The 15,602-nt window shown below is 46.6% G+C and overlaps 2 annotated features.

Annotated features, from left to right (window-relative positions):
- Positions 1,528–2,027: an enhancer, noted in NCBI's record as "H3K4me1 hESC enhancer chr10:14406081-14406580 (GRCh37/hg19 assembly coordinates)". NCBI's record gives its function as "activates a minimal SCP1, AML or CMV promoter by ChIP-STARR-seq in naive H9 embryonic stem cells {active_cell/tissue: H9 hESC(naive)}" and the evidence as "EXISTENCE:reporter gene assay evidence [ECO:0000049][PMID:30033119]".
- Positions 9,848–10,348: an enhancer, noted in NCBI's record as "H3K4me1 hESC enhancer chr10:14414401-14414901 (GRCh37/hg19 assembly coordinates)". NCBI's record gives its function as "activates a minimal SCP1, AML or CMV promoter by ChIP-STARR-seq in naive H9 embryonic stem cells {active_cell/tissue: H9 hESC(naive)}" and the evidence as "EXISTENCE:reporter gene assay evidence [ECO:0000049][PMID:30033119]".

The following is a 15,602-nucleotide window of genomic DNA, read 5'->3' on the forward strand; positions in this document are numbered from 1 at the left end:
CTTTCTGATCTTTCTTTCCAGGGTCCTCTTCATGGACACTTACATGCAGTATTCATGCGTCATTTTTAAATTTTTCAAAGAGACAGGGTCTCACTCTGTTGCCCAGGCTGGAGTGCAGTGGTTTAATCACTGCTCACTGCAGCCTTGACCTCCCAGGCTCAAGTGGTTTAATCACTGCTCACTGCAGCCTTCACCCTTACATCTCAGCCTCCTAAGTAGCTGGGACTATAGGTGGCACATGCCACCATGCCTGCCTAATGTTTTTATTTTTTGTAGAGACAGGATCTCACTATGCTTCCCAGGCTGATCTCAAACTCCTGGGCGCAAATCATCTTCCTGCTTCTGTCTCCAAAAGCGCTAGGATTACAGGCATGAGCCACTATGCCCAGCCCACATAGGGCTTTCACATTATATCTGATGACTCCAAGTCTCTCTCTGCAGCCTCAACCTCTCCATGCACTTGAGGTTTGAGTAGCCAACAGGTGACACACATTTCCCCTTGGGTGCCCCACAGGCACCTGGTGATAGCCAAGGTCCCTCATAAACCTCTCAGGTGTCAAGGCCAGAGAAATGTCACCCCCTCAATATCGTTCAAATCTGTCCAGATGCCTGAAACTACCCTCCAGTTTGGGACTTCTCCACTCACATGAACTATCGTGATTGCCTTCTAACTGCAGCCCCCAACCAGTCACTCTTTGTTGTATGAACACCTAACAAGGGCCTACGACATGCCAGGCATGAGGCTCAGGGCACAAAAGTACCCAATCTTGTCTCCTTTAAATTCACCATTCACACTGTAAGCAGAGGTTTCTAGTCTCAGCCCTTTTCTACTTAGGTACTACAGGAAACTGGCTTGGTGTGTGAGTTTTCGAGACAGACCTGGGTAAACATTCTGGTTGTTCTATTTGTCACCTGCATAACTTGGAGAAAGTTGGTTTCTTGGTACTTTGGTTTTCTCCCTTGTAAAATGGAGAACAATAATTCCTAACTATAAGGTTATTTCCAAAATTCAGTAGGTCTGTGAAGCATCCAGTGCACTAGATAGCACATAGCAAGTTCTCATGAAGGGGTAATTATTGATGGCTATGTAAAGTACTTACAGAGCATGCCAACATCAACAGTCTTCGGTGTTCCCCACAGTGGCACCCAAGGCTGCTGCTGCTGCGTTCTGAGCCTCAGTGCCTCCCTCCCATCCCCTGTTAATCGTAGTTCCTGCTCAACTCCATGGCACTGCCTCGGCAGTCTCTCCTCCTGGAATACACTCGCCTCTTCTTTGTCATCCGTCAGCTGTCTCCCAGGAAGCCTCTTCCAGTGCCCCAGGTGGGCCAGACACTGCTCCCTGGCAATGTTGAGCCTGCACACGAGGTACAGCTGCAACAAATGTGGTCAAAGTCAAAAGGCCAGCACACCTATGCTTTCACCCTGGTACAGAGCTGCTGCCCAGGCCCATCGTGTGCCCCCATCCTAACCACTCTGGGCTTCCTTTCCCCACAAGGTCTATTCAGCTGGAGTGGGCTGGATAGTGGAAGGAAGAGGACTGCCCTGGTGACAATTCTGGCACCCTGGTAGGCAAATGACCAGTGCCCCCACGGCTCCTGAGGACATGACCACCCGCTGCCAGCCAGGGCTGCCCCAGTGTCGCCTCTACCTGTCTCCTCATGGGAATGACAGCCTCCGCAGAACACCATACAGGCTGACATATGTCTGGGCTGCCATCGCCTAGTGCTCTAGGGCTCATCATTAAGTCATCAAATCTTTCCCTGCCGAAACTCATATATCTAAATGCTGAAATATTTCCTGTTTCATTAACTCCAGTAAACAGCTGATTTTCCCCAGAGTCGACGTTCAGCCAGTGGTATGCCCCATGGCCTAGCTGATCAGCTGTCCCGGGGCACACTGTCACCTGCAGAGGCCCACGTTCCCAGCCAGGATAGCTGTCAACAATCGCTACCGTCACCACCTATACCTCTCCACTCATGGCTCTATCCAATCACCGCTTGTCACCCTGAACTTGCCTGTCCGCTTTCCTCTGACACACCATTGTGTAAGAGGGGCCAAGATGAGGAGGGTGTTTAATGTATCTTTATACCCCCAGCACCAAGCCCAGCCTGGCACATCACAGCACCAGGTGAAATGCTGAGTTCTCTGCAGATTGGCCCAGTTCTCCTCCCGACCTCAGGAAGTGGAGAGTTGGCTGTAGAGATTCCAGAGGCAGATTAGGAAATGGCACTCAGAGCTGAGGAGGTCAGACAGAGCTGCCAATGAACCCAGCTTCTCCTCTGACACTTTCTAAAGACAGAAGACCCTGCTAGAGAGGATGACAGCCACCTCTGGTCAATGGAGGCTTCTGGAGGTACCACTCACACAGCCAGACTATGGACCGAACAGACCTGGCACCATATCATTAATCCTAAATAGAAATAAAAGCCATCATCTGGCCGGGCGCGGTGGCTCACGCCTGTAATCCCAGCACTTTGGGAGACCAAGGTGGGCAGATCACTTGAGGTCAGGAGTTCAAGACCAGCCTGGCAAACATGGTGAAACCCCATCTCTACTAAAAATACTAATAAATTAGCCAGGCATGGTGGTGTACGCCTGAAATCCCGGCAACTCAGGAGGCTGAGGCAGGAGAATTGCTTGAAACGGGGAGGCAGAGGTGGCAGTGAGCCAAGATCCCACCACTGCACTCCAGCCTGGGCAACGGGGCAAGGCTCCATCTCAAAAAAAAAAAAAAGAAAAAAGAAAAGCCATCATCTGCCACTGAACATCCTCTATCCCAACCAATTTAAATAATACCGGCTCCAAGCTTGTTGGCATACTCCATTTGAATAGCTCAGCCTACTATTTTAGATGTAGATAGAGATATCTGCTGTTTTCAAATTAGCCTCTAGCACTCATCATTAAGTCATCAAATCTTTCCCTGCCAAAACTCATATACCCAAATGCTGAAATATTTCCTGTTTTATTATCTCCAGTAAACAGCTGATTTTCCCCAGAGTCGACGTTCAGCCGATGATGTGCCCCATGGCCTAGCTGATCAGCTGTCCCAGGGCGCATTGTCACCTGCAGAGGCCCACGTTCCCACCTATGTCAACAACTGCTGTTCCCCATGGGCAACCTGCATCTGGCAAAATAATACTTGGGGAGAGTGGAATAGACAAGTTGTTTGCTATTCACTTGGCCTCTGCTGTAACACAGCAGGGAGGAAAGGCTTTGGCTCCAGAAATCCCAGGGTTCAACTCCTAGCCCTATTATTTACCATCTGTGTGACCTCAGGCAAGTTGCTTAACCTCTCTGAACTTGTTTTCTCTTCTGCAAAACCTGGGCTAATCATACCCACCTCACTGAGTTTTGGGTGTGAACATGGAAGGAGTTAATATGTACTAAGTGCTTGGTGTCTATTCAGCCTTAGATAAATGCTAGCTCCCTTTCCATTCCTTTCTCTCTCAACTAGAGTGGTATTCATTGGTGTTTCATGTTTCATGAACCACTGAGAAGATTAGAACTGGAAGAAAACTTACTTGAGAGTTTCTGGTGTGAGCTGCTCAGTTTACAGGTGATAAAGACGAGGCCTAAAGACCAAACTCCTCCTAAAAAAAAATAAGAATTTGGGCTGTGCAAACTCTCCCCTTCTTTCTTGCCTAAATTGTCACCTTGCTCCTCAGTAGGGTTGGAAATTCTTCACATCCACCAGAAAGAGACTCTGCTTGAGGCTTCAGCACTGACACTTACGGTTGCACAAGTTGTGCACTGCACAATTAAGGAACTGCATTCACACAAACAATGACGGGAATGGTATCCCAAAATTTTGAACCACAGATCCTTGGATGTCCTATAAAGAAAGGGACACCCCTTCTTCTCTGAGATGGAGCCAACCAAAGGCATAGCACCTCACACCTGGCTGCTGGTGTGGAGTTTGTGGAGCTCAAGAGGGTTGACTGGGACCTTGGCCTCAGATAATGAAGTGGAAACTCTGGTTTCTGACAGATCCTCAGCTTGAAAAGGGGGCCAGATTATAAACACTAAAAGTGATAAGCAGTCACGAAAACTCTATGGGGTGCTACGGCACTCTATGACAGGAACGGCCCCAATTTGCTCCCACCTCCTGGCATCCATGCCTGCAGGTGTTCCCTCCCATGCTGACTCTGGGCTTAGCCTGTGACTTGCTTGGGTTGATAGGACAGTGGACAAACGTGATAGAAGTGGGGACTTGAAGAGCGCTTGCAACTCACAACTTGTCCTGTCTTGGTGCTCTTGGACTCTGCAGCCAGCACATCAGCTGGCCCCAGCCAGGCTGCTGGAGGACAAAGTGCCCTGTGGAAAAGGCCTCCAGCCATCCAGCATCCAAGATAAGGCCCTGACAAGCCAGCCCTCCCCATCTGGCCTCCAGCTGACCATAGACACATGAGCCAGCCCAGCTGAGATCTGCAGAGCCCAGCCAAGACCAGAATTGCCCAGCCATGCCCAGCCCAAATTGCCAATGTACAAAATGACTAAGTGTTCAGCTGGTTTGTTACATAGCAAAACAAACTGATGTAGGCTTTGCAGGGGAGTCTTGAGATTAATAAAAGAAGAAAGAAAGAAACTATAGGACCCATAATCTACTTGGACAGAAAGACTGTGTGCATATGAAGAAACAAATGGATTAAAGCTAACAATCAAATGAGGGCTAAGTACCCAGAGAAGCCCTCATGGAGGAGAAGCCTTAGTTGTCCTTGAAGGATGCCACTTATTCCCTCCAGCACACATTTATCACTTTTTTTTTTTTGAGACTGAGTCTTGCTCTGTTGCCAGGCTAGAGTGCAGTGGCATGATCTCGGCTCACTGCAACCTCTGAGTCCCTGGTTCAAGCGATTCTCCTGCCTCAGCCTCCCCAGTAGCTGGGATTACAGGCATGTGCCACCACACCCAGCTAATTTTTGTATTTTTAGTAGAGACAGGGTTTCACCATGTTGGCCAGGCTGGTCTTGATCTCCTGACCTCATGATCCACGCACCTAAGCCTGCCAAAGCACTGGGATTATCACATGTTTATCACATAGTACTGGGCACTATGCCAGGTGCATACCTCAGGTACAACACCTCGCCTGCAGTCTCATGTCCTATGTGAGGGCGTGGTTGGTATTCACACTTGCAGATATGGTTCTTGCCCAAATTCACACAGAAACAAAGTGGCAGTCCAGAAATTTGAATCCAGACAGTCTCACTCCACAACTCAACACCTTTATCACATAGTTTTGCCAAATTCAGGGGTAACTGATGCAATATCCAACATGTATCTTCTATTAGAGCCGTTCTTGAGCCCTGCATGTTAGCTCTGAGACACATCCATGTGGAGCAGCCATACAATTCCATACTGAATATTTTATTCTCGCCTCATTCTTTTTCTTTTTCTTTTTCTTTTTTTTTTTTTTTTTTTTTTTTGAGACAGGGTCTCACTCTGTCACCCAGGCTGGAGTGCTGTGGCACAATTCACAGCTCACTGCAGCCTCAACCTCCCCAGGCTCAGGCAATCCTCTCACCCTCAGCCTCCTGAGTAGCTGGGACTACAGGTGCACACCACCATGCCCGGCTAATTTTTTTTGTTGTGTTGTTGAGATGGGGTTTCACCATGTTGCTCAGGCTGGTCTCAAACTCCTAGGCTCAAGCAGTCTGCCCATCTCAGCCTCCCAAAGTGCTGAGATTACATGTGTGAGCTGCTGCACCTGGCCTCATTTCATTTTTTTTTTTTTTAACCGAAGAGAGTAAATGACTGAAGGGACCATTTTCCACATTTATTGTACCAATCTTGGGTGGAGGTAACTTGGTGTCTAATGATGATGGAGGCCAGTGGAGAAAGAACCTTGCCAACCCTCCACTAATGTTTGTCATCCAGTGGGGTCAGACAGGAAGGAAGTAGATTGTAACAGGAACACAAGAGGTAAGGCCAAACATTCCAGTGCCTGCCTGTTACCAGGTAGATGAAACCATGAAAAGGGAATAACACCAAGATCTTGCCTTTATAAATCTCGCAATAACCAACACCATCTTTTCACATGTCTTATGTTTAATCTGGGAATGTCAGTAGATCTGGTTCTAGTTAAATTTATGCTTTGTGGTAATTACAATTTCACTTGTTTGTACCTATAAATAGAGAGGAATTACTTACTTACAAGATTCTGGGCAGGGATTATTATGATGTTGATAAGACTATGTTAGCATGTGCTTAGAAATTCTCAAAAATGGAAGACACATATAGACCCTAGATTGAACAGTAGTTAATATTTATTGCACAGTTACTGAGCACCAGACACTGTGCTAATTGCTTTCCATGCACTATCTCAGTCGATACTCTCAACAAGGCTGTGAAGAAAGGGCTATTAGTTTTTTCCATTTTAAGGATGAGGAAATTGAGACTTATCAGGAATAACTAATTTATCTGAGGTCACACAGTTGGTAAGTGAAAGAGACAGAATTTAATCCTGGCAACTTAGCATTGGAGCCCTTGCTTTGAGCCACTTTGCCATTCTGTCTCAATTTAAACCCATGATATCAAGCTCAAAGGAAATGACTTTTCAGGGATTCAAAATATATGTAACAAACAGAAAGAACAAGATATTAACTCGAAAACATTGTGCAGACCAAAAATATTTATAGACAAACTCAAGATTCCTAGCTTGAGATAGAGCTGTTAATGGAAAGTTAGATATACTAGAAACATAACCCTAAGCCACCCAGGATAATAAATAGGGGGAATTTAAAATCCAGGCTAGTTAGTATTGAATTTAGCTGCCAAGAACAAAAGAACCCTCGTAGTGACTTAAAGTAGGTAAGAAATTTATTTCTCTCTTATGTAAATGTAGGCACTTAGGTCTCATTGCTCTTCCCACCTCTACAAGTGTCTTTGATCTGGTTCAAGACAGCTTCTATAGCTCCAGCCATCATGTCTGCATTCCTGCTAGCAGGAGAGGGGAAAGAAAGAGACAGACACACCCTCTCCGTGAAGGACGCTTCCTGAAAATTGTACACATCACTTCCATTTACAGCCCATTGGTCAGGATTTCATCACATGGGCCATACCCATTTGCAAGGGAGGCAGAGATACCTGGTTTTTATTCTTAGAGGTCATATACAGAGCAAAAAGGAGAGATTGAGTAGAGAGAATGGATATTGGTAGCACAATGAGCAGCATGTCACAGAATAATAAGACTTTATAGTCGGGTCACTTCTCTTCTGTCTTTGACAATCCACCGGTCCCACATCGACACCCATCCCCTCCATTTCAATCATGTTTAACTCCTTGCATTTACCTAAGCACACTGGACCCTACCCACACTCTGGGCCTTTTCTCTCTGCCTGGTTGAGCTTCTGTGCCTCCTTTGTCTTCTCCAACTTCTTCCCTCCTACCTCTTTGTCAAGCCCCATTCTCCTTTGGATTGCTCTGATGACCCTCTTCTCCCCTTTCCCCAGCAGCTGTCTCTTCTCTGAGATCCACAGCCTCTGTGCTTCCCCCTTATTTGGCTCTCAATACATCATCACCAGCTGCTATGGTTGGAATGAGTCCCCCAAAATTCTTGTGTTGGGAATTTAATCTCCAATGCAACAGTGTTGGAAAGTGGGGCCTTTGTGGAAGTGTTTAGGTCATGAGGGATCTGCTTTCATGAATGGATTAATGCCACTAAAAAAAAAAAAAAGCTCAATATTTATTGCACAGTTACTAAGCACCAGAGCACCAGACACTGTGCTAATTGCTTCCCAGGCACTATATCAGTTGATACTCTCAAAAGGCTGTGAAGAAAGGGCTACTACAGGGAAAACAGAAGGAATACATCCTTCTTGTCCTTCTGCCTTCCACCATGTGAGGACATAGTGCTCCTCTCCTCCAAAGGATCCAGCAACAAGATGTCATCTTAAAAACAGAGACTGCACCCTTACCAGACACCAAACATGCTGTTGCCTTGATCTTGGACTTCCCAGCCTCCAGAACTGTGAGAAGTAGATTTTTTTTCTTTATAAATTACCTAGTCTCAGGTTTTCTGTTATAGCGGCAAAAAAAATGAACTAAGATACCAATAGTTTGCTCACCAGTCTCCTCCACCAGGCTGCAAGCACCTTTGGGTAGGTCCTGGGTCTCTATCTCTCCCTCTGCAGCCCCTTCTCAGCTCCTACCTAACACAGGGAGGTGCTCAAAAATTCCTTGATTCTCAAAACTCTTTGCACCACTGTCAGAAGTCAATCTGTGATCACTGAGGTCTAGACATGGTTGAGTATGTCTTTCCATATTAAAAAAAAAAAAAAAAAAAAAAGCTGGGAGAATACATTTGCATGACTAATACCAAAACTCTAATAAATGAATACACAGAGGGTCTTGCACCCATGTTTTCATCCATTCCATTTCTGTTGTCTCCCAAAGGAACTATTTTTTTCTACCTTCCAGTGTTGCTTTATACATATGCAAGCAAATATGAATATATGCATATTTTCCTCTATTTCTGCTTCTTGCTTTTTTTCCACTGAACATATCCTAGCAATCTTACTACGTCAGTAAAAAGAGAGTGTTCCAATTCCTTTTTCCAGGGGCGTAGTATGCCGTTATGCACATGCGGCCACTGCTTTTCTTAACTAGTCCTTTGTCATTACCAACAATGATGCAGATGACATTTCATATGCACGAAAGTGAATCTATAAAATAAACTCCAAAAGTGGGATTTCTGCATGAAAGTGTAAACAACTTTGTCATTTTGGTAGCTATTGTGGCATGGCATTCCTAAATTTAAAAAAGAAAAAAAAGAAAAAAGTACTAAATCTGAAGAAAGTTCTTTGGTGAGCATTGGAAAAACAATTTTCTCTAAGGAAATAGACCATGAAGATAGGGAAAATTACCTCATTGTCACTGGGATATTTTCTCACATCCACAGTAGATTTAGGGTGGGTACCAGGTGTGAGAAATCACTCTGACTTTGCTCCTTTCTACAAACATAGGGCATCTCAACCCAGTGATTTCCATGGCATTTATAAAAAGGCCATTTCTGCCCGGGGTTTGTGCCACTACAAAGCTTGTAATGGATCTAGAGACAAAATGACAGGTTTTCCACATTGGGGGCACTTTCCTGGAAGCGTGCAATTCAGCTTCACGTCCCACTCTGGGAGCTTTGGAAACACTGCAACGTATCAAATTGCTGGGCCATCTGTGGTTTCCTGTCCACGGGTAGGGAGAGGGGACAGACAGAAGCTGCCTCTCTGGATCTCAGCAAATGTGCTGGGCTGAGGCCACAGACCAGGGCACTAGGACCCTTCTGTGCCCAACAGATGCCATTTGTGAGCTCAGAGCTTCTGCCACCTGTCTGAACAGGCACCAAAACTAGCAGCTGAAACATCCTCCATTCCACAAAAGCCAGTGCTTATATATTTAGCAGCTTAGCCATAGTCACACAGAAAGTAGAGCTGTGAAGGACTAGAAAGAGCTTAGGAGAGTCAATGCCTCCAACCCGCTGCAAACAAGCCCGAAGCACCATTGTCCCTCTGCATGAGGCAGTGAGGTCCCTGCAAGTCACGGCTGCTGCAGGAGTGCACACAGGATGGTGAGGTAGTCTGGCCCATGACCCAGGGCCTGGTACAGCAGGGTGAGTAGTGGGTGACCCTTCCCGTGGACTTGCAGGTGGTTCTGGAGTCAGATGCGTCTTAAGGAGGCAGAACGATTTGGGGCAAAACTGGGAATAGACAAAGTTATGAAGATGGCAGCACTTCTTGGCTTCCGGGTCCTTGAGTCCAAATCCTTCTTTGCATGTTTCCCTTTGCTGCATCCCCACGGTCATTGTCACCTGAATTATGGCCACAGGCTCCCCGCTGGCCCCACCATTTTCCCGTGCCCTTCCCACGCCATCCTAAACCCAGTGGCTACAGTGATAAACAGTCTCAGTTTAATCTATGTGGATTCTCTGCTCAAAGCCTGTAACAGTTCCTGTTCCATTCAGAGCGTGATCTGACCTCCCTGGGCCCTCTGGCCTCCTCTGCTGCCACTCTCCCTGGGCCCTGCACCCCTACCACACCAGCCCTTCGCTGCTCCTCCATTGCCATCAGAGACCCACCTTCAGGGTTTTTGTGCTCCCTGTGCCCCGGCCTGGGACAACTCCCAGCCTCCTAATCACACAGCTCTCCTCTTTCAGGTCTTCGTTTCTCCCTGGCCATCTGCACTTTCCTGTCCATGGGCTGGAACAGTGACAGACAGAAGCTGCCTTTCCGGACCTCAGCAAATGTGCTGGGGCAAGGCCATGGACTAGGGCACCAGGATCCTTCTGTGCCCCCAACAGATTCCTTTCATGAGCTCAGTGTCTCTGCCACCTGTCTGAGCAGCTCCTAAATTAGCAGCTCAAACCTCCTCCACCACACAAAAGCCAGTCTGTGCATCCTGTTCAGACAGTGGCTCTTTCCCGACCATCCTTCTTAAAAAAGGCACCACTAATCCCCATCTCATTGGAAACTTTACCTCCCTCTGCTTTTTCTCCAAAATTCTCAGCACAGTCTACGTAAACTGTTCATTTTATATATTTATGTCTCCATCATCCCCTCCCCACACTAGACTGGGAGCTCTGTGGGGGCACAGACGTATCTGTTTTGATTACCACCATATCCCACACATCTAAAGCAGCGCCAGGGCACACAGTAGGCTCCTGAATATCTGCTGAATGAATGAACACAGAAATGAGGAAGGTATTTCCTGCAAGCAACCTCATCTCAGTCGTCACAGAAGAAGCTGTCGTTGTGTAGAAACCCACGCACAAGAAGGTGCTATCACTGCCCCACCCCTGTCCGTCCCTGCTACCATCGAGGGTGTCTTTCATTGTTGCATTTTAAATGAGAAAAGACAGTGTCTAACATGAACAGAAGGAGCTCTATCGTGGATATTTTAGGTCAGGGTGGGTGGGGGAGATCATTTTGAGCAGAGAGCTTTCCTGAGTGTCCAGGGGCCCACCTCCATCATCTGCCCCAGCCTCTAGCAGTAACAGTGTGAAAGAGCTCTCACAGGCTCTGTTGCATGCCAGTATAGAAGTCATGGGGCTGCATCGCACACCTAGAGGTAAACTCATTTGCTGGGTGTGATCAGAGCACCTGGCCACTGCAGCTCAACAGGTGAGCAAATAAATAGCATGCCATTGTTCCTCTTCCACCAAAGCCATGATTTCCTGGTTAGTTTGTATTTGACATCAAGGCCAAATGACAATAATTTTTTTTTTTAAACTGGGTCTCACTCTGTCACCCAGGCTGGAGTGCAGTGGCGCAACCTCAGCTCACTGCAGCCTTGACCTCCCACGGTTCACATGATCCTCCCACCTCAGCCTCCCAAGTAGCTGGGGCTACAAGCACATTCCACCACACCCATCTAATTTTTGTAATTTTTTTTTTTTTTTGTAGCAATAGGGTTTCACCATGTTGCCCAGGCTGATCTCGAACTCCTGGGCTCAAGCAATCCACCAGCCTCAGCCTTCCAAATTTCTGGGATTACTGGTGTGAGACATGCAGCCCTGGCCTCGACAGTCACTTTCAAATTATTTAACTTCTCTAGTGACCTAATGGTTGATCTTTTTATTTTATCATGCTTATACCGTCTCTCTAGTCTTAGGTATAATTTCTCTGCAGGACATGTTGTTGTAGTAAAAGGAAGACCATAAGAAGATGACAATGGCCATGAGCACTACAGTGAAGCCCCACGGTGGTGTTGGTAAAGGAAGTTCCAATAGCAGTTCAGTGTCTGCAGGTGGAGCACAAGAAGCCGGGACAACAAGCAGGTCCTCAGTCCTCATGGCTTCCTCCCACGGTAGTTGTGAGGTCTAGGGAGGTCATGCCACTCTCCCAGTGCCCATATTCTTGGCTAGTAATACCAGTGTTATGCTAGAGGCAGTCTGATGTCTTTCGAAACGCACGTCTCATCAAGACAAAGCAGCCTATCTCTCAGGTAATGTAGGAACTTGGAAAGAGGCAATTAAAAGATGACTCTAAGGCAGGGTGTGGTGGCTCACGCCTGAAATCCCCACATTGTGGGGGGCCGAGGCGGGTGGATCACCTGAGGTCAGGAGTTGGAGGCCAGCCTGGCCAACATGGTAAAACCCCATCTCTACTAAAAATACAAGAAAATTAGCTAGGTGTGGCGTTAAGCACCTGTAATCCCAGCTACTCAGGAAGCTGAGGCAGGAGACTCACTTGAACCAGGAGGAGGTGGTTGCAATGAGCCAAGACTGCACCATGGCACTCCAGCCTGGGCAACAGAGTGAGACTCCATGGCAGGAAGAGAAGGGAAGGGAAGGGAAGGGAAGGGAAGGGAAGGGAAGGGAAGGGAAGGGAAGGGAAGGGAAGGGAAGGAAAGGGAAAGGAGAAGGCAGAAGAGAAAAGAGAAAGAAAGGAAAAGAAAGGAAAATGAAAAGAAAAAAGAAAAGAAAAGACTCTATGAGCCCTGATGGTACTCTAAATCAAAGTTCCTGAAGCCTGGAACACCAGAGCTTCCATACAAGCTTTCCATAGTTTGACCCAAATTAATAATCAGATCTGAAGTGTCATTTAGATGAACGTGGCAGCAGTTCTCCGGGAACCCCCTCTGAAGTCAGATTTCACTGTCTGCTCTTAAGCTTGTTTCAAGAAAGGAAATTGACCATAAAAGCTCCTATCCACTTCCTGATGATAAAGACAACTATCCAGTCTTGGCTTTTACTGCAGTCATTGCTATTGCATCATTTCCATTAATCTTCTCAGTGGCCCAGGGAGATTGGAGTGCCATCATTAATTTGAAAAGTAATAAAAGTTCTAGATTGAGCCATTTCCTGCATTCTTAAAACAAGGAATGTCTATATCTAACCTTCCACATTCCCAAGGTCAACGTCACCAACTATCTCCAGGTTAAGTCCAGGGATCGGTCTCCGTCCCCATCAGTGAGGCCCTGGCTGTCCCACCAAGTATTTCCCAAGTATTTCAAGGCTATTCTTGAAACTGTCTTTCCAAAATTATGACTGAGACAGTGAAAGATATCTAACAAACGACTCCATCTTGCTTCTAACCTCCAAGCTGTCCTTGTTCATTCCTGGGTGTAGGCTGAACTAACTTTGGGAGAAACTTTATAGTTTAAAACAAAGATGATAACATCCCTTTCCCAAAGCCGACCTCTTTCTTGCCTGGGGACTAGATTGCCTTTGTAGGACCAACATTAGCCAAAAGATGAGAAATTATGGTTTAGGAGTCATGCAGCTGGAGGCTACAAGATTCTGACCCTCCCTAAACTGCTCCTAAGATCAGTGCTCTAGATACCCTGCACTTGATAGATCAGCTGGCACCACCCAGATCAATAAACTGTCTCATCTGATCTTGTGGTCCCCACCCAGGAACTGATTCAGCATAAGAAGACAGCTCCAACTCCGTATGATTTCATCTCTGAGCAGTCGGCACTCCTCCTGGCTCACTTGTTTCCCCCCATCCACCAAGTTATCCTTAAAAACTCTGTTCCCTGGATGTTCAAGGAAACTGATTTGAGTAATAATAAAACTCCAGTCAGTCCTTCACAGCCGGCTCTGCATGAATTCCTCTTTCTCTATTGCAGATCCCCTGTCTTGATGAACCAGCTCTGAACCCACTGGGCAGTTACATTGTTGGCTATTTGCATGTGCTTTCTTAGGATTTCATTTCCCTCTTCCTCTCCAATTCTGCCACGAGCCTGAAACTGGACTTTTGAAATTGCCTCCTAACTGGTCTTCCTGCCGCTGGTACCTCATCTACATACATCTAGAATGATCTTCCTATAGGACAAATGGGATCACTTCAATCATCTTAGTTCACTTTAATGCTTATTGAGCAAGGTCTGGTGGATATAAAAAGGGGAACCAGAGTGGCCGTGGTGGCTCATGCTTGTAATCCCAGCACTTTGGGAGGCCGAGGCGGGTGGATCACATGAGGTCGGGAGTTCGAGACCAGTCTGACCAACATGGAGAAGCCCCATCTCTACTAAAAATACAAAATTAGCCGGGTGTGGTGGCACATCCCTGTAATCCCTGCTACTCAGGAGGCTGAGAGAGGAGAATCGCTTGAACCCGGGAGGCAGAGGTTGTGGTAAGCCGAGATCGTGCCATTGCACTCCAGCCTGGGCAACAAGAGCGAAACTCCGTCTCAAAAAAAAAACAAAAGGGTGGGGGTGGGGGAACCAGAGACATCCCTATTGTGATGGTTAATTTGAGTGTCATCTTGATTGGATTGAAGGATACAAAGTATTGTTCCTGGGTGTGTCTGAGAGGGTGTTGCCAAAGGAGATTAACATTTGAGTCAGCGGACTGGGAGAGGCAGATCCACCTTCAATCCGGGAGGGCACCATCGAATCAGCTGCCAGCACAGCTAGGATAAAAGCGGACAGAGGAACGTGGAAGCACTAGACTGGCTGAGTCTTCCAGTCTTCATCTTTCTCCTGTGCTGGATGCTTCCTGCCCTCAAACATTGGACTCCAAGTTCTTCAGCTTTTGGACTCTTGGGCTTACACCAGTGGTTTGCCAGGGGCTCTCGGGCCTTCGGCCACAGACTGAAGGCTGCACTGTCGGCTTCCCTACTTTTGAGGTTTTGGGACTCGGACTGGCTTCCTTGCTCCTCAGCTTGCAGATGGTCTATTGTGGGACTTCACCTTGTGATCACGTGAGTCAATACTCCTTAATAAACTCCCTTTCATATATGCATTTATACTATTAGTCCTGTCCCTCTAGAGAATCCTAATACACCTGTCTTCAAAAAAAGCAGCTCTAGAAGTTTGATGACTCCCCACAATTGCAGGCTCCTCAGTCTGCAAACATGCTCTTTCACCGGCTGCCCCTGCTTGTTTCTCCAGCTCGTTTCCAGCCATTTTCTCATGTGCATTCTCCACCCCAGCCATGCCTGCTACCAGGACCACTGGAATATTCTGAACCTCTTCCCCCTCGCTTCCTGTTTATCTGTAATGTCTCAATCCAAACTTCTTCTCCTGGCTGCACTGAATTTTTAGTCCGGAATAAGTTACATTCCTTCTCTGATGTACAGTTGTCCTGGACAAAATGCTATTAAAGTTTCTTTTTTTTTTTTTTTACTTTGCTTTAATTGTGCATTTTATTTAAATTGTTTATTTTCTTGTCTGTCTCTCCCACTAGGCTATGCTCTTTTAGGGCATGTCAATGTCAGAGGCCTTTTAACCAGAGCAACTTTATCTTGAATAGGGGCTGGGTAAGGTAAGGCTGAGACCTGCTGGTCTGCATTCCCAGGCATTAGGCATTCTAAGTCACAGAATGAGATAGGAGGTCGGCACAAGACACAGGTCCTAAAAACCTTGCAGTAAAGAAGTTAACCAATCCCACCAAAACCAAGATGGCAACAAGAGTGACCTGGTCATCCTCACTGCTTATTATATGCTAATTATAATGCATTAGCATAGTAAAAGACACTCCCACCAACTCCGTGACAGTTTACAGATGCCACGGCAACAGTGAGGAAGTTCCCCTATATAGTCTAAAAAGGGGAGGAAACCTCAGCTCTAGAAATTGCCCATGATTTCTGGAAAACGCATGAATAATCCACCCCCTGTTTAGCATAACATCAAGAAATAACTATAAGTATCCTTAGTCCAGCAGCCCA

The sequence above is a fragment of the Homo sapiens genome, chromosome 10, assembly GCF_000001405.40.
Source record: "Homo sapiens chromosome 10, GRCh38.p14 Primary Assembly".
In the NCBI taxonomy this organism is placed as follows: Eukaryota; Metazoa; Chordata; class Mammalia; order Primates; family Hominidae; genus Homo; species Homo sapiens.